General features: G+C 36.4%; 1 pseudogene; it reads right to left on the bottom strand.

Annotated features, from left to right (window-relative positions):
• On the bottom strand, positions 24,804–25,497 carry RPL19P8 (ribosomal protein L19 pseudogene 8; annotated as a pseudogene).

Genomic DNA, 26,122 nt, shown 5'->3' with positions numbered 1-26,122 from the left:
GTAAAGAAAAATTAATTTATGATTTTTTTTACTAGCTTGCACTTAAGTCATAAAAACCTTGCATTTTAAAGGGCTATATAAAGTTAAGTACTTTCTTGAACTTTACTCCTTAGCTCTTAAATGTATATGTATTTTTTTCTTTTGAACTAAGAGGTGGCATATTGTCAGGAGTAAATAAATACTGAAATTTATGAACATAAGAATTTCATGTATTTCAATTTTCAGGGAAGCTTGACCTCGGCTAAAGCTCATTGCCCAGCCCCATTATAAAATTATATATTTAAATGTCGCTTCCAGAATCTTCACTTCCTGCAGATACATTACCAATGCAAGAACTAAGAACTGTTATTTATGAGGAAAACACTTGTTAATTTTCTTTGATTTCTTTGATAATGCTATCGATGTTTCTTCTTGGATTAATTCAACTATACATAAACTAATTGCACTATATTTTAGTCCTTTCAAATTTTAAACATTTATGATTCTATTTCACCATTACTATATGAAAGGCACTACTCCATCTAACCTACCTCAATAATGTGAGCTTATTTTAAAGCTGTAAGAATAGAAATCAATTTCCACAATGTGAAAGTAAACGAAATTGTCATCTAAAAACTTTGATAATTTAATTTCCAGAACATATTAAAACTTAGAAAAATATCAAGCCTTATGATTGATGTCAAAAAATCCAGCATCTTAACATGCCTTTTGGATTTTATGTGATTTGTATGAGTGGGTTTTATTATCAACAAGTTCCATTGGATAATAAGATTATAAATATATATAACACTGATTTTAACAATGTTAAGGGTAAATAAGTAATACTTTAGGGAAATTACATTCACTCCATTGATAAATACTTAAATTAATGGCATATAACCATTGCCATCTTCTTTTAAGCATAAAGGAATGGGCCATAGATGAATGCACTGTTCTCTTATTAAAAATGCATTAGACTACAAAGCCCATCTCATGATGTAGGAAGAATTAAGAAGTTTTCTAATATCATTAGGCAGAACTATACTTAAATCACTACCAAGAATTTTAATATTCTTTGTACTGTGAAACCACATATATTAAATTACTATTACTTGTTTTTTGTGAATATTAACATCCTTCATAACACTACTACCACTAATAAACACTACTACTGAATAAAATGATGCAGAAGAAGCAATATGAATAAATTTTTAAAGTTGAACTTTTAGCACACATAGTAATATATTTTTGAACATTACCAAGAATTATATATATAATACACATATAAACATTTTGTGTGTAAACTTTTATATTAATTATAGTTTGCATGTATCCTTTAGCACTTGCTTAATTTGCTAAATATTATTTTGTTTAATTAATGATTTGTTAATTAATGATTAGATTACCCTTTAATCATTTCAACTCAAAGTATTCCATATATTGGATAATCCAGATACTGAATGTGTCTTCTTGTGCAAATGAATAATAAAAGTTTCTCTCGTTGATCCTTTAAACTCACTGTGTACCTTCTTCAATTTAGATGTCATCTTGGGCAGAACCCACAATTTTCTTATAAATTTCATTTAGATCTCTTGGAGAGTGAAAATTCACTTTCAAAAGTTAAAACTACAGCCACTAGAAGTTAAAACTTTGATCTCACATAAAATCCTATCATTCTCTACTAACTGGTCTTAGGAATCAACAATGGGGTTGGGATTTATTACAGTCAACGGCCCTTCCTCAGTGTCCTCCTTCTTCTCCATCTTTGATTTGACTCCCTCAAATCAGGGCATGAGAGATAAGGACAAAAAAAAAATAGCTCTGTTTAACCAGAAGTGTTTATAGTTCCTCTTTAACTAGAAGTGCCCTCAGTCATGACAGGCTTTCATGAAAATATCCCAGGCCTCTTTCCTCTGATACAGCAGTGTTCTCTCTAACTGGCAGTACGTCCATCTAATACTGCTCTCAGAACCCATCCCATGGACTGGAAGAGAGGGAATGGAAGAAAGAGAATGTGCTGGAAGAGAGAGAATGAAGAGGAACAGTTCCTGCCTCACTCTCAACTTCCTGTGGGGAAGCTGTGAGTCAATCAAGTAGCAACTCTGTGCATCACTGATTTTCCCATAGGAAAGTTTGCTGCTTACAATGACAAACGCTTAAAACACAGACTCTACACTTTGTTATCTCATTCAATATCCTGCTCCTAAATGGTAATTAACTTAATAACAAAATCTATTGCTGATAATATTTCTATCCTCCTTAAAAAACTGCAAAGGCTTTTATAAACTTGAACATCTATAATTTCATCCCCATTTCCTGCCTGTTGCTGTTCTATAGTATTTTATATCTCCATGTTTTTATGCCCTGTAAATGAGTCACTATTAATATGATGGTGTTTATACAGTCATTAGCTCTGGCCTAAAATATATCAGTTTCTTTACTCACAACTACCTCTTGACCTCTTGAATTCAATCTATTTTTTTTTTTTTTGCTTCAATTTCCCATTTCTGAAGTTTATTTTAACTGGTAGTTCCCTGATGATGCTCTGTGAGTGGCAAATTATCTTTCTTTTTTCCCTTTTTAAGCCATTCACTTGAATTTTAGTTTAGATATGTTCATAGAATTCTATGTTGAGACATTTTATTCCAGAATTTCCTCAGCTTGCCTTATTAAGAAGTTTGTTAGTGCAATTACACTTCCTTAACTGTTAATTTTTTGCATGGTGTTTTGTAATGATGAGTTTTATCTAGGGGTTGATATGGAGTTTTTGTCTTGCTAAGGCTACATTGAGCTTGTTGAACCTGAGAAATCATATAGTTTATCACATCAAACAAAAATAAGCCGTTATCCTCCTTTTCTTTTGGTCCAACTCTTTAGTTTACAGTCATCCCTCAGTGTGCATGGTTCCAGGACCCCCTTGGGTCCTGGCTGAGGTGGCATCTGTCAGTTCATACTGCCTGACTTGTAGACCCATATCCTCTTCCCTTTTCCTTGTGTGGACATTAGATCCAAAGGCCCTTGGTGACTAACCATCTACCTGACAGCAACAACACCTTCTTATGGTCTTACTTTACTGATTATCAGCTCCTACTTTATTTCTAGTAGTTGGTGATTTTTCTCTCTTGCAAGCTCAGCTACTCATTTAAAATAATGTTTACTATATATCATCTTTCTCTTTTCTGGGTATTTGTAGCAGGAGAGTTTCAGGTTTAATAGTATAATTTTTTATTAGACCTGGAACTGGTTTTAGCCACAGTTTACAAAATGTTATATAGTGTACATATGACTTCTGAATTAAATTAGGGTTTAAGCATTTTTTGGAAGTTCATCAAAAGCAAATTAGAGACATTATTCTAGTGATCACGTAAGATTCTAGCATATGGATCAGACATTGATTATATATTGATTTTTCCATTCATTGAGCTAGAATTGTTTTCTGTAATTTTTGTTATGATAGCTAAGAAAGGTGGCTCAGTGAGATCGCGCCACTGTACTCCAGCCTGGGTGACATAGCAAGACTCCATCTCCAAAAAGAAAAGGTGACTCAGAAGCTAACTCCTTGGATACAGTTTCCCCACTGTTTCTGTGAACTTGACCGTTTTTGTCTTACCTATACTTTATCTTAATTTCCTAAAATGTAACCTGAAGAAATAATTGTACCTACCTTTTAGAGTTTTTTTTTTTTAAACACATTGTATGAGTTAATATATTGTCCTGTCTGGCAAGATTATAGTAGAATAAAATACAGATCCAAATTGCAGTGGCTTGGCTGGAAAAGAAACATTTATTTCTCATTCACATCGAATTTGACGTGTTTCACTGGGAATGTCCTCTGTTACTTCAGGAAACCAGGCTCTTTTCATTTTGTAATGCTTCTATGTCATCACAAACCACGTGTTTACATGGCTTTCAAGGTCCTCTCAGCCAGGAAAAAGAGGAATGGACAAGGCACACTGGTTTATAATGGCCCTAGCCCAGAAGCAACCCACATCAGAACTTTCCACAGTCTATTAATCAAAAACAGTAACATGGCCCCGGTGTAAATGGTTTGAAGGCTAGATAACAGAGGGGCGCACATGGAATACTTGATGAGCAATAACAGTCTTTACCATAAATATATTAAAGTTTATATTAGAGCCTTGTCCATATTAAACACTCAATATATATTAGCTCTTATTATTATAAGTAGCACTGTGATTAAAGTATTTACAGATAAATCTCTACTAGAGTTATGTTATTTAATTAAGATTCCTAGAAGTATATCTATTATTCTAAAGGATATAAATATTTGTGGGTTTTTATAAAGTTTCTCAAATTCATTTTGAGAATAAGAGTGTTACAAATTGATGATGAGCATTTGTTTGGGGATGTCCATTTCATCAGATAAATGACAATAATAAATATGTTTTCCCAATATGTCTGTGAGTTTTTAAATCAACTTTCTAATCTGCCTTCATTAATTTAACAAATTGGATTTCCTCTTAATTTGCATTTATTTAATTACTTTTGTAAGGTTGAACATTTTTTCTGTATTTATATTGCTCGTTAGATTCTAGTCTAGAGGAAATTATCTGCTGTAACCTCTTTCCATTTATCTATTCATGTCTGCCATGTTTTTCTCTCATCAATTTGTTTTGCCTCTTTTTTAATCAAACATTCATCTTTTATGAATGGAGGTTGAAAATGTTTGCCTTTGTTTTTCATGGGTCTTTATACTTTCATATCTTTGTATAGGAAATTCCTAAAAAAATTTCAAAGTATCATTTTCTCTTTTTCATATTTTTGGGTATAATTTTTAACACTCCTTACAGTAATCTCATGAAGTTTATATTAACATCTTTATTTTATGAATGAGGAAACTGAGGCTTAGTAAGGTTAAATGAACACTTCAAAGGCATCATGGCTTGTATGTTGCAACCTCGATGAACTCAGTATTTAAGATTGTTTTTCTAAAATCACAATATACACACAGTACCCTGCAGTTAAGAGAATTGTGTGCCCCCGCTCCTCAAAAATGCTTCTGCCATAATCACTGGAACATTTGAATATGTTCCTTTCCATGACAAAATGAACTTTGTAGAAGAAATTAAGGTTGTGGCCTTGAAATAAGGTTGTCCTGGCCCATTCTGACCACATGAGCCCTTAAACACAGAGAACTTTCTCAGGCGGGACTCAGAGATATCCAGTTAAAAGGTAGCTAGAGAAATGCCAAGATCGAGAAGAACTGAGCAAGCTGTTGCTGGCTCTGAAAAGCAGGGCTCAACATGACAGACCAGACATAGGCTCTAGGAGTTAAAGGCTGCCCCCAGCTCACAGCCAGCAAGGAAACAGGGACCTCAGAATGACAACTAAAAAGCAGTGGATCCTGCCAACAACTTAAATCAGCTTGGAAGCTGATTCTTCCCAGAGTCTCCTGGCAAGTACCCAGCTGGTTAACATCTCAATGACGACCTCGTGAAACCTGGAGCAGAGAAATCAGCTGAGTCAATCTGACCTCCCAGCTACAGAGCGGTGAGCTAAAAAATTTACATTGTTTTCAACCTCTGCATTTGTAGTCATCTGTTACTCAGAAATAGGAAATGAAAACATGTTTGTAAAATTGAGTGGGATATACAATTTAACCAAATCATACTTCCTAACCTACCTCATTAAGATATTGTTTATTACGTATTCCGCTATTTAATAGTGTTGTGCCTGCTAGGGCATGTTTCTGCACACTTGCCCAGAAAACGTAAAGAAGCTGTGTATGGTGTACTGAACCTATTCCTGTACCCTCCCTCGGTCTTCAAGGTTGATAACCTATTTTCCAGGTTAACAGTGCTAGGTCTGCTAGACTTACTGATACACGGTAGTCACATGATTATAAATGTGAACCCTTATGTTCCTGAAGTATTCTCCAACGTGCTCTTGTTTTTAGGGGTTATATCTCTGATTTTAGCGGTTATTTTCTAGATAGTAGTCCTTTGTCAGTTATGCTATGTGTAAATATTTTCTGCTCAAACTATAGCTACCTTTTCATCCTCCTTAAATGTTCTTTTATAGTAATTTTATTGAAATCCAACTCATCAGTTTTTTTCTTTATGGGTAATATATTTGATGTCAAGTTTAAGAGCTTTTTGCTTAGCTCTAGATTCTATTCTTCTATACACACACATATATATATAGTGTATTAGATATGAGAAGAATTGACATCATTAATGTATTTAGTTTTTCAATTGATAAACATGGTATGTTTCTCCATTCATATATATCTTCTTTGATTTCCTTTATCAGTACTTTGAGTTTCCTTCATTTATTGAGAAATTTTAATCACACTGTATTTTTAATTTTGGCATGCACAAATTCATTATTAGATATAAAAATACAGTTGATATTTGTATGCTTATGTGGTATCCTATGAGCTTGCTAACTCAGACTCTAGCAGTCAATTTTTCTTTTTTTTGGGGGGGTGAAGGATGATTATTTGCTATTTTCTATGTATAAGATCATGTTATCTGCAAATAGAGAAAGTTTAATTCCTTCCTTTCCTAGTAAAATGTCGTTTATTTCTATTTTTTTTTTTTTTTTGCCTTATTCCACTGGCTAGAACTTCCAACATTATTTTGAATAAGTGATAAGGGGTGACATCCTTGACTTGCTCCCCAGCATAAGGAAAAAGTGTTTAGTATCACCATTAAGAATGATGTTGGCTGCAGATTTTTAATATTTTGGGTCAAGGTAAGGAACTTCCTTTCTATTCTTGTTCTCTGAGAGGTGTTTTTTGTTGTCGTTGGTGTTGTTTTATTCATGAAAGGCAGTTGAATTTTGGCAAATGCTTTTCTGCATCAGTTGATATGATCATGTGTTTTCTTTTTCTTTAGTCTGTTAATATGGTAGATTATATTGATTCATTTTCAAATATTAAATAAGTTGGAATCATAGAAATAAATTTCACTTGATTGTAGTGTATAATCCTTTCTTTATATTTCTGAAATATATTTGCCAACATTTTATTAGAGTTTTCAGTTTTCATATTCATATTTATATATTTATATTTTCACATATATCATTTTCTTTTAGCCCAGTCTTTTTTCTGATTTTGACATAAAATTAATAATAGATTCATAAAATAAATTGTAAAGTATAACTTCTCATTTATGAAAGAGATTGTTAAAAATTGGTGTTATTTCTACTTTAAATATTTGGTAGAACTGCAAGGGAATCTCCATCTGCGCCTAGAGATTTCATTATTTGCCTTATTTAATTACAAATATATTTTATAATAGTTACAGGGTTATTCCAGCCATCTATTTCATGTCAGGTGAGTTGCAATTGCTTTCATCTTTTTAGGATTATATCCATTTTGTCAAAGTTGTCAAATGTATGTCTATAAAATTGTTTCTAGTATGCAACAATCTTTTGATATCTAAAAGTTCCTTAGTAATACACTCTGTTTTATTTCCAGTGTTTGTAATTTTGCTTTCTCTCGCTTTAAATTTCTTTATAAGTCTTGCAAGAGGTCTGCAAACACATTTGTCTTTACGAAGAATCAGTTATTTGTTTCCTTTATTCTTTTTATCTTCCTGTTATATGATTTATTGGTTTTTGCTCTTATCTTTATTATTTTCTTTCTTATTCTTGCTTTAGATTTACTTCCCTCTTCATTTCCTAAGTCCTTTAGGGGGAGTTTAAATTATTGATTTGATACTTTTTCTCTTTTCTAAAATATGAATTTAGAGCTATTAATTTTCCTATCAGTAATACTTAAGCTGTGCCAAACACATTTTGGTATGTGGCATTTTCATTTTCACTCAATTTAACTTTTTTTTTAAAATTTCCTTGAGCCTTCCTTCTTGACTCATGGATTAAGAAGCACATTGTTTAGTTTCCAAGTGTTTGGAAGTTTTCATGTTATCTTTTTCTTACTGATCTCTAGTTTGATTTCATTGTATTTGGAGAACACACTATGCGTGATTTGTTGTTGTTGTTAAGTGTGTGTTAAGTCTTGTGTTATTGCACAAGATATGGTCTATCTTAATTACTTTTAGCACTTGGAAAGACTGTATGTTCAGCTATGTTTGGGTGAAGTATATTCTAAATCTTAATTAGATGGTGTTGATGAATTCTGTTAAATTTTTCTGATTTTATAGCTAATTGTTCTATCAATTGTTGAGATATAATGTTGTGTTGTCTACTATAAATGTGGATTTGTCTGTTTTTACTTTTAGTTCTATCAGTTTTTGCTTAACAGGTTTTCTTTGTTGTTTGGTTTGGTACATAGACAGTTAGGATTACTATATTTTCTTTTTGTTTTAATCCTTTTTATTATACAATGCCTGTATTAGGGTTCTCCAGAGAAACAGAACCAATAGGAAATTTACATACATTACATAAATGTCTACCCTTTTTGTTTTATTCAAGCCTGTTATGGTTTGAGCGTCCCTGCAGAAACTCATATTGAAATCTTATTTCCTAATCCAGCAATGTCAGGAGCTGGAATCTTTAAGAGGTGGGGCCTAATGGGAGGCATTCAAGATGTGACGACTCCACCTATATGGCCAGCTTGGTGTTGTTCTTGAGGTCTTGAGTTCTCACTCTCTGAGACTGGATTATTTCTCACAGTAATATATTAGTTAATCCAAGAGCAGGATATTAGAAATCAAGGTTCTTCCTCAGGTTTGCCCCATTTGCCTGTGCCCACTTCCCCTTTGACCTGCCATGTAATGACACAGCACAAAAGCCCTTGCCTAGCTGGGCATGGTGATGAGCTACTGTAGTTCCAGCTACTCAGGAGGCTAAGGAAAGAGGATCCCTTGAGCCCAGGAATTCAAGGCTGTGGTAAGCTATCATTGCACACCACTGCACTCCAGCCTGGGTGACAGAGCAAGACCCGTTTATAAAAATAAATAAATAAATAAAAATAAAAATAAAAAACAAAGGACCTTCCCAGGTGACAGTGCCATGCCCTTGAGCTTCCCAGCCTGCAGAACTAAACAGGCCTCTTTTCTTTATGAATTACCCAGTCTCAGGTATTGTGTTATCACAACACAAAATGGGCTAAGACAAGGCCCTCAAGGGATTGGATGCTGCCCACCCATATTGGTGAGGGCAATCTGCTTTACTCAGTCTATTATTTAAATGCTAATTTCTTCCAGGAACACCCTCACAGATACACCCAGAAATAATGCTTAACCAAATATTTGGGAATCTTGTGACCCAGTCAAGTTGACACATGAAATTAACCATCCCAATGCCCCTTCCTTTCTCTATTAAATTTTTTCCGATGAGGTTTCCTTTCTCTACTATTAAAGCAGCCACTCTTATTTTTCTTTGATTAAAATTATCATGATATATCTTTTTATACCTTTTTTCTTTGAATCTGCCTATAGCATTATATTTGAAGTGAGTTTGTCATGCACTGCATAGAGAAGATGTATGTAGTAACTCACTCTGCCAACAACTGACGATTAACAGAAATGTAATTATGATTTGTTAGAGCTTAAGTCTGCTATTCTGCTATTTTACTATGTTTTTCATTTGTTTCTTTGCTTCATTTCTCTGATTTCTTTTACCTGCCTGTAGGTTACTGGAACACTACTTAAAATTACTTTTTTTTTTTTTTTTTTTGAGACAGAGTCTCGCTCTGTCACCCAGGCTGGAGTGCAGTAGCGCGATCTCGGCTCACTGCAAGCTCTGCTTCCCAGGTACACACCATTCTCCTGCCTCAGCCTCCCGAGTAGCTGGGACTACAGGCGCCTGCCACCACCCCTGGCTAATTTTTTATATTTTTAGTAGAGACCTGGTTTCACCATGTTAGCCAGGATGGTCTCGATCTCCTGACTTCATGATCACCAGCCTCGGCCTCCCAAAGTGCTTGGATTCAAGGTGTGAGCCACCATGCCCGGCCTAAAATTTCATTTTTTAAAACTTAAAATATGTTTGATTGTAATTCTTCGTATAGCTTGTTTTGCTGTTTGCTCTAGATATTACATTATGTATAAGTAACTTATTTCGGTCCACTCATGTTTATTTCACCAGTTTGAAAGAAGTGTAGAAACTTTACCTTCTTTTAAATGTACTCTGCTTTATTTATAGTCTAATTACTTAACAATTTTCCTCTACATACCTTTCAAAACCCATCAGACAGTTTCATATTTTTTGCTTCAGTAGTTAAATTTTAAAATGAAAGAGAACAAAAACATAATATATAAGCTCATATTTTTGCTTAGTGTGTTCTTTCTTCCTGAAGATTTAAAAATCTTTTTGTAAATTATTTCCTTTCAGTTTATAAATGTCCTTTTGTCATTTTTTTAGGGTATGCCTACTAGTGACAAATTGTCTTATGTGTCCTTCATTTGAGAATGTCTTTAGTAACTCTTTATACCTAGTGAGTATCTTCACTGACTTTAGAATTCTGGATTTATGTTTATTTTCTTTCAGTATTTAAAAAGTACTGTGTTACTTCCTTCTGGTATGTATGGTTTCTGATAAAAAAAAAATTCACTGTCATTTAAATTTATTTTTTCCCAGTAAGTAAGCTGTTGTTCTTCTCTGGTGGCTCTCAAGATTTTTTTTTGTTACCTTTAGTTTTTAGAATTTTAGTTATAATGTATTGTGGTATGAATTTCTTGGGTGTATCCTGTTCTGGGTTGCTTAGCTTCTTCAGTCTCTGGGTATGTGTCTATTGCTAAGTGTTGGAAGTTTTCAGCCATTATTTATTCAAATACTTTTCAGCTCCACCCTCTGTCTTCTCCTAGAATTATGATGACATATATATTAGATCTTTTTTTGTCCAGGGCGTTTATTGTCCCACTCACTGATGTTCGGTTTTTATTTTTTCAGTGTCCATTTCTCTCTGTTCTTTATAGTAGGCAATTTCTATCATTCTAACTTTCATTTCATTGATTTTTTTTTTCTTTTCTTCCTGGATTCTGCTGCTGAGTCCATCCACTTAAACTTTTAGTTTAGTTATTATATTTTTCAGTTTTAAATTTTTCATTCGATTCTTCTTCATATCTTTTATTTCTTTGCTGAGACTTTCTTTGATGATGATGATGATGCTTTCCAGCTTTTTCAATTTTTCAAGTTCACTGATTTTGATTAAAGTGCACCCTGTACTCAATATCTTTGTGTGTGTGTCTGCTGGTGTGTGAAATTTTTTTATTGAGTTGAACCCCAAAGATATTTGTTATTATTGACACAACTTTAAAAAAAACTATGAGTATCTTTTTGTAATTTGAGTTTTCTACTTTTAATTCACATTACGCTTTTAAAAAATAAATTTTAAAAACAGTAAGGAGTCTCATCTGTTCAAAGGTAACTGAATAATTTGATAAGCCTACTGGTAAGCCATCTACTTATCTGTATTTATATAAGAATGTATGTATTCATATTTCCTTTTTAAGGTCTTTATTATTAGAAAATCATTGGTTTCTCTCCTTTCTCTTTTTTTTTTTTTTTTTTTTTTTTTGAGATGGAGTTTCACACTTGTCACCCAGGCTGGAGTGCAATGGCGTGATCTTGGCTCATTGCAACCTTGGCCTCCAGGGTTCAGTCAATTCTCTTGTCTCAACCTCCTGAGTAGCTGGGAATACAGTCATCTGCCACTCTGCCTGGCTAATTTTTTTATTTTTAGTAGAGATGTGGTTTCACCATGTTGGCCAGGCTGGTCTCAAACTCCTGACCTCAGGTGATCTGCCCTTTCTGCCTCCCAAAGTGTTGGGATTACAGGCATGAGCCACTGTGTCCAGCCTGGTTTCTCTTGAAGAGATGCTGTTTTATGTATTTCCTTTTTAAAAAGATAATTTCTAAATGTATTTAGATATTTATATAAGATATATTTTATTCCACATTTCACCTAGGAATACCAGTAATAAAATATCTTTTAGTTATTTCCCCAAGAGAGATGAATGGTCATTCCCATGTCAATGTACTTAAAAGTAGGTCCTGTCACTGACCCCGGGACATACAATGTTTGGGACTTGGAAGACTAAGGTGGTTGTATTAGGCTAGCAGAGGCCAGGGTATTCTTGAGAAATGCAAGGAGCCTTGCCAGTGATACTCTAATAAATACAGTTTGGTTTCCATTCTCCTTTTTATTTTTTCTCTTTGTCCTCATGATCTTCCATTTGTACTTGGAATTGCCTGTTAAATAAAGTTTAATGTATATTAATAGGTTAAAGGAAAGAAGAAAGAAAGTATAGACATGGAAAATAATAAAAATTAGAGCTAATGAAAGAAAGTAAAATATTATAAAATAATCTTATATAAAATATACTTTCTTATTTCATCTCAATTCAGTTTTCACCTTTTAACTCTACCTAATTTGCATTTTGACTTGTCTCTCTTCTTCCTACTTCCTTTTCACAATTGAAGACTCTAATAACTAACCAATTTTGGTATTATTTGCAATTGTGAGAAGATCCCAGATTTGGGGATGATATCTTTCAAATTCGTCATGATAACCCAAATACGTGTCTACCCAAGTGTCTAGTTCCCACATTCGAATTAATCAATGCCCCTAGGTTCTTCAACTCTTCATTCACTAACACCAACCTCTTTTATAGGTTCCACTCTAGGTGGCAGCAGGTATCAGGGAGTGTAATCAAAGGGACAGGCTGGCAGAATACTAGCGACCCCAAACAATGTACACAGTAGTAGACAGCACATCGGTAGATGCTGTGTTTGTTTTAAGTCCTGAAGAGTATCTTATTATCAGATAGAAGAGGTGATATAGCATACATCCTTCACACATTGAATACCTCATTTTAATGGCAAAGCCAATCAATAATCTACCTGGACCCAAGAAGCATTCAAGCTTGCAGGCTCAACACATATTGTCATCTCAAAACTTCAAGACCTTTTACCCTGTAAGCTTTCTGTATATCTGTCACTCAAACTTCAAAATGTCTTCCCAGATGTCCCAAAACATCCCAAAATACAGCCAGTTGAAACTCATTTACTCATTTGTTTCACTTGCCTGTAACACTGTCCATCATAATATAAGTGTCTTTGATGTCTTTTTTTTTTTTGAGACCAAGTCTCACTCTGTCACCCAGGCTGGAGTGCAGTGGCACAATCTCAGTTCACTGCAACCTCTGCCTCCCGGGTTCCAGCGATTCTCCTGCCTCAGCTTCCCAAGTAGCTGGGACTACAGGCTCATGCCACCATGCCCAGCTAATTTTTGTGGGATTTTTTTGTTTGTTTGTTTTTCTTTTTCATTTTTTTTTTAGAAGAGACGGGGTTTCACCATGTTGGCCAGGCTGATCTTGAAATCCCGACCTCAGGTGATCCACCCACCTCGGCCTCCCAAAGTGCTGGGATTACAGGCGTGAGCCACCGCACCCAACCTATCTTTGATTTCTTATAGTTTTTCTGTTTTGCAATACATCTGTGGTCACAGCAATGTAAATATCCTGTAACCTTCTCAGAATTATCTTGCCAAACTGAGCAATTTTTATACAAATATGAATATCCTCCACGTACCTATGACCAAAGGGTCTTCACAAATCTTCTTAGTAAATATATTCTAATTATATGTTAATATATTATACTTTATATGCATTTGTGTATATTTCATTTTAGATTGTTGGCATGTGCTCTGTTTCCCAGAAGTAGATGCAGAGATGAAGTGTGGAGTGTGTAGTAGACAGAATAATGGTCCCCCACAGATACCATGTCCTCATTCCAGAAACCTGTGAATATACCTAACATGGCAACACACCATGTAGATATGAATAAATTAAGAATGTTGCTATGGGAAGAATATTCTGGATTATCCAGGTGGGCCCAATGTAACCACAAGCATCCTCCTAAGAAAGAGGTGGAAAGATCAGAGTGAGAGAAATATTGATGATAGTGGCCGAGGTTGGAGGGCCATAAGCCATGGAAGGCAGGTAGCCTTTAGAAGATGGAAAAGGCAAGGAACCTGATTCTCCCTCGCAGCCTCAAGAAGGCCTCTGTTTCTGCCAACAACTTGCCTTGGGAATTTCTGACCTCTACTACCAAAAGATAATAAATTTGTGTCATTTTACACCACTAAACTTCTGATAATGTGTTACAGCACTGTTAGAGTAGGTAGCTAGACAGACATGAGCAGAGCAGGAGGGGGCTCCCCCTCCGACTGCCCCCCCGCCCCACACCAGGAATGTCAGATAACCATCAGGTGATGGGCAGGCGGTTGTTAACTCTCTCTCTAAGTCACAGCCAGTGCCAGGGAAAGGCAATCTCCTAATAAACAGAAACACCCGAAGCTGGTGATCAGCAGCCTCTTGATAAGATCTCAGGACCTGGGTGAGTGGACTCACACATGTGCACTAAGACGCAAAATGGCAGAGTTTAACTGGTATAGGGCATCCTAGGGCCATTCGGCTGGTAAGGGAAGAACGCCTTAAGTGAACATGCTCACAGCTCCAGGAAACACACTGTGCGTGCCAAGTGAGCATGCATACAACTCCAGTAAACATGCTGTGCATGCTCCCCTCCCAAGTGCCCACAGGCAACTGTGCATGCAGACAGCCCACTGCAAGGGAAGAATCAGAGAAGAAAGAAACCCAAGAACCTGCAATATGCCAACATATTTATACTCAGGTTACTCAGGTTTAACCCTGAGTAGAAAGGTTAAACCCCACACTTGATCTCAAGTCACCCACTCGGCCCTCTTCCAAATTTACTTTACTTTCTTTTCATTCCTGCCCTAAAGCTTTTTAATGAATGTTCCCTCCTGCTCCAAAACTTGCCTCAATCTCTTCTTCTGCCTCATTCCCCTCAGTTGGATTCTTTCTTCTGAGGAGGCAAGAGTTGAGGTTGCTGCAGACCTGTACAAATTCGCCACCAGTAACAGCAAAAACAGAAAGCAATACAGGCTGCAAAAGTTGATTAGCCATGAACACCTGTGAAAGGGAGGGAGGAAGCAGGATTGTGCAAAGACAAGCCTGTATCAGTACATTAGGGATCACGGAGCAAGTATCGCCAACCAGAGTGTCCCACATTACTCTGGTTGGGAGATGACAGAAGTTTCCAACTTCATATCCCCACTGCGTTCAGCAACCAGATAAAGCCTGTCCTGAGGAGACATAGCCTTGAATGAGGTGGCCCTTGGAGCCTGTAGCAGACCCTCTCATCTGGATGCTGTCTGCTCGCTGTGCTGGCTGGAGTGGGACAGGAAGCACTTCCCTGGAAAGGAAGAAGTCTTGGAAATCTGTCTTCCTTAAGAAAGGCCTTCTCTGAAAATCCAGGTGTCACATCACCATGTATAGTCCACTCCACACCGGTCTGGATTCTACAGATATTCCTTTCTTTCCCATTGTGTAACAGCTGCCCTGCCTCCTGGTGGTGAGGGTACATGACCTCTCTGATGACAATGAGTCATCTTGTGCCTGCTGATGCCTGGACACAGGAGCCCAAAATATCCAGGTGGCAACTACAGTTTATAATTTAGTTCTGAAAGGTTTGAGTGCATCAGCACTGTCTAGAGTGAGGGGAGAGGACACAGCTCACAGCTGACAGTGCACACATCTGAACAGGGAAGTTGTGTTTTCTATTTGCTGACCGGTTAAGCCCTCTCTCTCTCTTTCTCTCTCTTTCTCTGTTTTGCAAGAGACAAAGTCTTTCTCTTTCATTCAGTATGGAGTGCAGTGGATTAATAGTAACTCAATGCCGCATCAAACTCCTGGGCTCAAGTATTCCCCTCACCTAAGCCTCCTGAGTACTGAGATTATGTGCATATGCCACCTTGCCAGGCTAATGTGTGTGTATGTGTGTGTGTGTGTGTGTAGACAGTATCTCACAATATTGCTCAGGCTGATCTCGAACTCCTAGCCTCAAGCAATCTTCCTTCCTTGGCCTCCCAAAACGTTAGGATTTTAGGCAACCCAGCAATCATTCTCTTAAAAGAATCAGAATTTAAAGGAGGTATTCTTCTAGGGATGGAATACTTATCCCTACAAGACGAGGGCTGGGAGTGTAGGTGAATAAGTGATCGAGGGACTGGCATAGGCTGCATTACTTTTCATATTTTCTCACCAGAGCAGGACAATGAAACTACCTTGATTTTACTCCTTGCATGTCTGTGGCCTGCTCTTTTTTCATTTATCTCTAGTATGAAATACAAGTATCATTGTTCCAATGCACTATGGGTGAGGTACAAGAGTGAAACTTGAAAGTTTGCTTGAGCCTATTTTTGCACAGTTGCCTCTTCAGGACCCCTCCCTGAGAGTATTGTCACCCACCCCATTTCAATCCCCCCACCTCTTCTCACCCCACGGAAGCCAGGCTATGAAGACTTAGGGATTTTCAAAGCATTCATCATAACTTTTGCCACTTCTGGAATCCAAATTGCTGCATTTAGATTTTGTGGTTTTTCCAGAATTGATTTTGGATGAGAGAGTCAGTTTGTCTACTCTATTCTGATGGCCATGCCCAGCATATAGACCCCATTACACTTTGATATGAGTATGTCATTATTTTCTTAACTCTGATTCTGATAATATCAAGTATAACAGAGAATATAGACTCTACAAATAGCTCTTATTTGGAGTCATAAAGAAAGACTTTATGACTCCAAATCATCACTTGCTCACCCTTCAAAAGTGACTGAAGATTGAAGGCAAAAGGATGAGAAAGAGCTGGCATCAATGATAGCCTTAGGGTGAGTTCTCATTTAAGAGATATCTATAGCGGGCTTATTCAAAGTGGAGACTATGTGGCTTGATTCCAGGTAAAATATGCAACCTCTGCTTGCAAAGAAATAGAACCAAGTCATCTGAGTGCACAGTTCATAATCTCAATTAAATTAATGGGTTGGTTTGTTTAGGTAGAGCAGAGCCAGTGGTGCAGTGTCTTTCTTTAATTATAAAGTTAATAAAGACAGATCATGTTATCAATCGCTCCCATGGAACATAATAGCACTTTATAACATGAGAAAATTAGAAGTAACTACAATTAAAGGTAAACTTAAAGTAATAGAATTTCTGAGCTCAGTTAGAACCCTGTTAATCTTTTAACAATTTTAATGTCTGAACTTAACATCTGATCTTGTCTCATGTTAAAATTCTTCTTTGTGAGGTCAAAGCTAGCATGGAACATTTGGCTCAACTCCAGTAATTCTTGCTGGCATCTTATTTATTTATTTATTTATTTGCTTGTTTATAAGTCTGAGATGGCTGGATTTCTATAAAGTTTTTTGTCTATTTAACAAAAATTTTTCAAAGTATTTATCAGTTTATTAGTCAGACCACATTTAATTTTTACCTTCCTACCAGAAGTTACATGCTATAATAAGAATCGTGTGGAAAAAGAGAAATAAGTTTGCAAAAACCTTATAATATGTTTTCACAAAATAATAGTATGAAAGTCATCCAGCCAGGCGCAGTGGCTTATGCTTGTAATCCCAGCATTTTGAGAGGCTGAGGCGGGTGGATCACTGAGGTAAGGAGTTCGAGACCAGGTGAACATGGCAAAACCCCATCTCTACTAAAAATACAAAAATTAGCCAGGTGTGGTGATAAGTGCCTGTAATCCCAGCTACTCGGGAGGCTGAGGCAGGAAAATCACTTGAAACCAGGAGGCAGAGGTTGCAGTGAGCTGAGATCGCACCACTGCACTCCAGCCTGCATGACAGAGTGAGACTCTCAAAAAAAAAAAGTCATCCAAGATATACTTCCAATGTGTGTGCCTGTGTATTGTTTTGAGCTGAAACTTGAATCTAATCTTCACCTTTAATATACATTTCAGTAGATTTGTTTTTGTTCTACCCTTGCTACACCTAATTCTTACTGAATATTTAATGTAGAGACTATGGTTACAAACATGCAAATATCTTTTCCCCATTGTTACCTTTTATAATATTAAAAGAGCGGCATCATGGGCATGATCCAGAAACACTGCTACCTTGATTTACTGGATATAGCACGGGCTGTTTAGTAAGGCACACTTAGATTCTAATTTCAGCTTTCACACTGACTGAACTAGACAAGCTAGTGTCCATGTGTTCATTCTCTGTTTCCTTGAAAAAATGATAATGCTTAACAAGTATGATAATGTAGACTTATGTCATAATGAAGCACATGTACAGTAGAGTATCTTACAGAATTACTAACTGGTTAGTAAACAAATTATGAAATTTTCTTTTTCTTTGTAAAATATATGAAAGTTTATGAACCTTTTAGCTTATTTAATCTGTATTAATCATATATAATTATATAGCATATTTATACTGTATTAATCCATTCTTATGCTGCTATGAAGAAATACCTGAGACTGGTTAATTTACAAAGAAAAGAGGTGTAATTGACTCCCAGTTCCACATGGCTGGGGAAGCCTCAGGAAACTTACAATCACAGCAGAAGGCACCTTTTCACAGGGTGCCAGGAGAGAGAATGAGTGCGTGCAGGGGAAATGCCAGATGGTTATAAAAACATCAGATCTTGTGAGACTCACTATCACGAGAACAGCATGGGGCAAACCACTCCCATGATTCAATAGCCTCTACCCGATCCTGCCCTTGACACATGGGGTTTATTATAATTCACGGTGAGATTTAAGCGGGGACACAGAAGTGAATCATCTCAATAATTATATATAATATTTATACACACACACACCCCGAATTTTTAAAGATCTTTTTAAAAGAATTTTCTGACACAATTTTGAATTGCACAAAATTAAAAATTCCTTTTAATGTGGAATCTGTGACTTTTTCATATTCAGATATATGACAGTGCAAATAAAATTTATACTTGTCCATAATTAGCTACTTAACCTTCTCCAAATCTGTAACATATTTTTACTGATTCTGTGCCTATTTATCAATCTTCCCCTGTAACAATGCATTTATTATTTTTATTCAGTTACACATATGAGTCCCTTAAAAACTCTGAGGTTTTAGGTGATATTCTTCTTTTATTCATCTGTGTGTTCTGAAGAGAGTGCTAAAAAGAAGTAGCCATTCAGGGCTCAGTGTAAGACTGAGCACATCTTAAGCTTCTTATATCCTACATCAGTTTGAAAGTCTTCACTTAAAACTTTATTTTCCCACTACATTTAAATTTGTTTCACTGGGATCACAATTCAAACACTTTTCCAATCTTGGAAACTCTCATAGCCCTCCATTACCATGTTCATCAATTAATTCTGTTATTTTGTCTTTAACATACTGTTACCATCCATGCTATCATCTCTTCAAAATTCTCATGACCTCAGTTCAGCATGTTTTTATATTTTATCTGAATTATTGTATTCATTTCTCTCTGACATCCATGCTTCTAGCCCATCTCTTCCAATTGCATATACCCTACCAATGACCCTTGAAGAATAAATTACTTCTCATGGTAGGTAACTTGCCAAGACGTTTGCAAAAGTTTCTCCTATCCCTGTATGCAGCCCTTTTATAATGGGATATTACCACTCTTTTATTTAATGCTTTATTTTCCCAATGCTTGAATCTGGGATCACAGCGTAACTTATTTTGATTAGAGGGAGGTAGCAGAACTGATGTTTTGCAATATCCAAGTTTAGAATTCTTGCACCTTCTGTTTTTGCTGTCTTGGAACACAACGCTGCTATATGAACAAACCCAAACTAGCCTGCAGGAGCATAAAATCATATGCAGCAGAGACACAGTGACCCAACCATGGCCTTCTAGACCAACCACCTTCCATATAAGCCACCATTTCACTAAAGCTACAAAAATGATCGCTGGTAAGACAACCAAAAGAACCACCCTGGACAAGTTGAGCCCAGGACAAATTGCTCTCCAGAACAACCATGAGCAAATAAAACGGTTATTGCTTTAAACCATTAAGACATTAAGAACTGGTGTGGTTTTTACTCAGAAACATAAGTGATACAGAAATTGGTTCCAAGAAATGAGTGTTGCCATGACAAAAATCTAAAACTTGTGACATTGGCTTTGGGATTGGAGGCAAATAGATGCTGCTGGCCGAGACTAGATTGATATCCAGGTTGTCAATGAAGGCCGGCAAAGGAACTTGTTGAAGGCTGGAGAAAGGACAATTTGTGTTATGTATTACTGAACAGTTGGCAAAACCATTATCTGTGATAACTTAGCATATAGAACCCACTTAAGGAACTATATAGACAGAATGTGGAATATGTCACTAGGTGCTTCTATTTACAATAAAGTACTATAAGTGAGTGATGAGCTAAAAAAAGAAAAATTTCAGTTTTCTGGTAGAATAGAAAATAAATATGGGGGGCTTTAATATTTGCTAGTTTGGAAAATAAAATTGGTCTTATTTCTAGACGCTTCAGACTGCAAGAAATTTTCATAGTAAAGAGGTTTTTTTAATAAAGGCCAAAAGCTGGGTATTACTATGAAAAGCTTTATCAAGACCTCAAAACCATTTAAGGTGGTGCTGAGTAGACAGTTTCAGCCAGGTGAAAGGTTTCTGAGAATATTTAGAATGTTGTTTCACAATACCCAGACACACTACACAAGGTAGAGAAAACCAGTCTCTAATAAAATAATTGTGGATCTTACTTTTGACTGACGGAATAACTTATAACCTGATACACAAAATGCCCTGTATTAGTCTGTTCTCACGCTGCTAATAAAGACATATGCCAGACTGTAATTTATAAAGGAAAGAAGTTTAATTGATTCACAGATCCACATGGCTGGGGAGGCCTCACAATCATGGTGGAAGGCAAAGGAGGAGCAAAGTCATGTCTTACATGGTGGCAGGAAAGAGAGCTTGTGCAGGGGAACTCCCATTTATAAAACCATGCAATCTCATGAGACTTATTTATCAACACAAGAACAGTATGGGGGAAACTGCCCCCACGATTCAATTATCTCCACCTGGCCCTGCCCTTAACACATGGGGATTATTACAATTCAAGGTGAGATTTGGATGGGGACACAGCCAAACCATATCACGCCCTCAGTGATTACAAAGGAGTTTTCCAAATTGGACTAAAAGGGACCAAGAAATATTAAAAGGAAAAGGTTTTGGGTGCTCAAGCTTCTATGAGTTGGACACAGTTTAAGAAAGCTTTTTAGCTTTGAATAAACAACACACAGTCCATTTGTTATAAATATGAAACAGTGTATCAGAGAACAGAGCAAAGATCCAGATGATTTGCCAAGAACCATGAAAGATATGTAAGAAACCACATCTGAGGATAATGACTTGATCCTTATCCAGGAGAACCCCCTATCCCTGCAATATGAGGACCTTGCAATGGATGCCTGTCTGGGTTTTAGAACTGCCATGCACCAACTCACTGTCCTTGGGGAGTGCAGTGCTGCCTTGGGAGAATCTCAGTTGAACCTGCAGGTGAATGAGAATACAAGGAGCAGAACAAAACAGACCAGGTTCATTTCGTTGGATCAACCAGTAGAGCCGTGGAGAGTTATGTGAGTGACCCTAGGCAAAAATCAAAAAAAGAAAAAAACAAAACAAATACTGAGCCCATCATAGTTACTGTACCATAGAATTACAAACAGACAAAATAATTCTTGTTTTATGTCACTTAAGTTTTAAAGTTTTTTTTTATTTTTTTATTTTACTTTGAGTTCTGGGACACATGTGCAGAACATGCAGGTTTGTTACATACATATACATGTGCCATGGTGGTTTGCTGCACCTATCAACCTGTTTTCTAGGTTTTGAATCTCGCATACATCAGGTATCTGTCCTAATGCTCTCCCTCCCCTTGCCCCCCACCCCGCTACAGGCCCTGGTGTGTGATGTTTCCCTCCCTGTGTCCATGTGTTCTCATTGTTCAACTCCCACTTAGGAGTGAGAACATGTGGTGTTTGGTTTTCTGTTCCTGTGTCAGTTTGCTGAGAATGGTGGTTTCCAGCTTCATCTATGTCCCTGCAAAGGAAATGAACTCATTCTTTTTATGGCTGCATTGTATTCCATGGTATATATGTGCCATATTTTCTTTATCCAGTCTATCATTGATGGGCATTTGGATTGTTTCCAAGTCTTTGTTATTGTAAAGAGTAAACGTACGTGTGCATGTGTCTTTATAGTAGAATTATTTATATTCCCTTGGGTATATACCCAGTAATGGGATTGCTGGGTCAAATGGTATTTCTGGTTCTAGATCCTTGAGGAATCGCCATACTGTCTTCCTCAGTGGTTGAATTAATTTACACTTCCACCAACAGTGTAAAAGAGTTCCTATTTTTCCACATTCTCACCAGCATCTGTTGTTTCCTGACTTTTTAAAGATTGCCATTCTAACTGGCGTGAGATGTTATCTCATTGTGTTTTTGATTTGCATTTCTCTAATGACCAGTGACGATGAGCTTTTTTTCATATGTTTGTTGGCCGCATAAATTTCTCCTTTTGAAAAGTGTCTGTTCATATCCTTTGCCCACTTTTTGAGGGTTTTTTTTTCTTGTAAATTTGTTTAAGATCCTTGTAGGTACTGGATATTAGCTCTTTGTCAGATGGATAGATTGCAAAAATTTTCTCCGATTCTGTAGGTTGCCTGTTCATTCTGATGATAATTTATTTTGCTCTGCAGAAGCTCTTTAGTTTAATTAGATCTCATTTGTCAATCTTGGCTTTTGTTGCAATTGCTTTTGGTGTTTTAGTCATGAAATCTTTGCCTATGCCTATGTCCTGAATAGTATTGACTAGGTTTTATTCTGGGGTTTTTAGGGCTTTAGGTTTTTCATTTAAATCTTTAATCCATCTTGAGTTAATTTTTGTATAAGGTGTAAGGAAGGGGGCCAGTTTCTATTTTTTTGAATATGGCTAGCCAGTTTCCCAGCACCATTTATTGAATAGGGAATCCTTTTCCTATTGCTTTTTTTTTTCAGGTTTGTTGAAGATCTCATGGGTGTAGATGTGTGGTGTTATTTTTGAGGTCTCTGTTCTGTTCCATTGGTTTATATATCTGTTTTGGTACCAGTACCATGCTGCGTTGGTAACTGTAGCCTTGTAGTATAGTATTGCTCATTGCCAGAATTAGTATTTCCTATATTTTCCTGTGCAATCATCAAAATATACCGGTTGACTTTTCTTCATAATAGAGCTAAATGTCCCATTACCCACAAGACCACTCTGACATTGTAATTCACCCATTCAGTGAAATATACCCTAATGTGTATATTGTCATTATTATCTGCCTGGTAAAATATATAACTTTGTTATGTGAATATCCAATTGGTTCAACTCATAACCTTTGAATTAGTGGCAATAAAATTTCTATAATTTAACATGAGTATAAAAGAATTCTTTTGAGTTAAACCTACTACATTCTTCCTGTAACACAACTATATTTTCTTCAATTATCTTTTTACCACATGCTGAGTAAAATTCCTATTCTATTTCCATCATGTCATTAGATCTACTTTCCATTTAACTTTGATAATAACAAAAGAGTCATGTTCCTAGATTTCAAATTCTCAGTCTTTCTATACTACAAATATTGAGAGGGTTTTTGTAGGTCATCAGTTCTCTTAACTGTCTTTATGTTGATGACATCTAAGCACTGCAAAGATAGTGAGGGAAGCACTAGTCATAGATCCTCTACCTTAGGAAATTACTATCTACTGCAGTCCATCAGTGTCTCTTTAGAAAGCCTCCTTAATCAAAACAGTGAGTAACTTGCAGACTGGTAAAAGCCACTTTCAACCAGCTAAATCATGACAATAAAAATAAATTCTTACATGGTTGGTGAAGTATACTGTTTATAGTAAGACAGATGCTTTCTCTAGCTTATTTGAAAAAAGAGCAGCATTTTTTTTGTGTTTGTTTCTGTTGATGGGTGTATCCAGCCATAAAAGATGCACTTTCTTGTATTTACCATTTCATTCTGATAATCATCACCAACACAGTGAACTGAGAAATGCAAGTTCTAATTTGAATATTTTTGAAAGCAAATTAAAAACAAAGTTTGATCTTTTTTAGGCCATTAAGATCAAATGAAAAATACAGCTTATAAAAATACTTCATTAAGCAAAAAGATAGAAAATATAATCTACAAATAGTCACCGAAACTAGAAGCTTATCAGTAATCAGACTGTATTACACAAGAGTAAATGAAGTAACTCTGTAGATTTTCAATCTGAGAATACATAGCCAGAAGACAGCAATTTAAACTGAAGGCTGTTAACAACAGACTTTAAAGTATAGCTACTACAAAGAGGTATTTTTCGATTATCCCTTTGAAGTTGTGATCCAGCTATCAAACATTTTGAACAGTATTGTTCATCTGTAAAATAGAATCACCTCAGGCAAAAACAGCAGGAAATTCAAACATCAATTCTAATTTTTTTTTTGCTCAAAACTTTAGACTATAGAAATGACAATTTTGTTGTCTGAATTCTTCTGTCTCACCAATTCTCAGAAAAATATTATATTTCAAGTAGAAATCATCAGGTATAATCATAAAGGGAAAATATGTCAATATTTCCTTATAACGCTCGCTCAACTAAGACATTTAACAGCAAAATTGTATTTATTCATAGGAGTGAATGGCGATTTGGGGAAAGATTACACAGAAAATCTGAAGATAAACTGAAAGCCATCTGTATCCATTCAAAATACTTTGGGTAATTATATGTATAAAACTGTACACTAGCATTAATGTAATTTGCACCTTGCCTATGAGGGGAGATAGTGTTTAATAATTGGAATGCAAGTAATGACTTCCTCACAAAGTGGAATTATGTAATATCTTTAATTTATAGAGATGTGTGTGTGTTTGATAAGCAGTACATCTTTTCTTAGGGAAACCAAGTTTGTACTTAGAAAATCGGCGAGCCTATTTCTATAAAGTGCATTGGTACTTCATGTGGACTACAGGAGAATATAGAGAATTAATAGTCACTACTATTATGTACCACTTTTTTTTTTTAAGCAGATAAAGGCTTGTTTTATTTTAATGGCTGATCTGTGTAATCATGGAGGCCAGTGTGTACAGACTAAGCGGGAGCTTTTATTTCTTGATCTCTTCCTCCTTGGACAAAGTCTGGATTATCTCCTTCTTCTCGGCCTGGAGACGCTCTTCACAGCACTTGCGTGCTCACTTGGTCATAGACCAGCTGGCCTCAGCCTGGTCAGCCAGGAGCTTCTTGCGGGCCCTGTCTATCTTAGCTTGTGGCTGTGTTCCCTGAGAATCCACTTGTTTTTGAACACATTCCCCTTCACCTTCAGGTACAGGCTGTGATACATGTAGCAATCAATCTTCTTAGATTCACAGTATCTTCTGAGCAGCAGGCGCAGAATCCTCATTCTCCTCATCCACGTGATCTTCTCTGGCATTCGGGCATTGGCTGTACCCTTTTGCTTACCTATGCCCATGTTGCCTGCCCTTACGGCCGGCCAAGGTATTTTTCCAGCATTGAGCCTGGGAATGGACAGGCACAGGCTTAAGGATGATCAGCCCATCTCTTATCAGCTTCCGGATCTGCTGACGTGAGTTGACATTGGCGATTTCACTGGTCTCACCGGGATCCAACCAGACCTTCTTCTTGCCGCAGCAGAGGATGCTAGAGGCGAGCCTCTTCTGAAGCCTGAGTATACTCATGGCGGTGGCTGTAGCAGTGAAAGGGACATACCACTTTCTAGAGATTTTAATATCTCTGGCAGCCAGAAATACTGTCTCTTTCTTAGCTCTGAATACTTAACATTCGTGGATATGAAATAATTTTTATTTGTTTTCTAATGCCCTAATATCTTAAATGCATAGTCACCCAAAATGAAGAAAACTGGTTTGAATAAGCCAGCTGGAGTTAAGAAGACATAACCAGCAATCAAAGATTTTCTAGAAATAATAAAGCAGTAATTACAATACATGAGTGTAGGGGCAGCAAGACTCTACCTGTATCCTCTCAGGGTCTTGGCTAGGTCTGATAATTAAATTGATGTAAAACAGATTCACAAGAGGAAGGCGTAGAAATTTACTTCATGTAAGTTTCATGTGGCATCGGCACCCTTATAAAGAAATGAAAACCCCAAAGAAGCAGTTAGAGTCAGTTACCTGTATACTGATGAAACAAAGAATGGTAAACTGAGAATTTGATAAGACAAAGGGGCTTAGGTGAGAGTCTTTACTTGGACAGATAAGGGTTAGTTTAACAAGGTTTGCTGTTGTACAGAATTCTCTCGGCCTCACCTTTCCATCTTTGATGATAAGACCATTGCCTTTTTTCTAGTATAGGAAGGATACATTTTAC

The sequence above is a fragment of the Homo sapiens genome, chromosome 4 (assembly GCF_000001405.40).
Source record: "Homo sapiens chromosome 4, GRCh38.p14 Primary Assembly".
In the NCBI taxonomy this organism is placed as follows: Eukaryota; Metazoa; Chordata; class Mammalia; order Primates; family Hominidae; genus Homo; species Homo sapiens.
The sequence above is the reverse complement of the archived record's forward strand: the minus strand, read 5'-3'. Positions and strand labels throughout refer to the sequence as shown.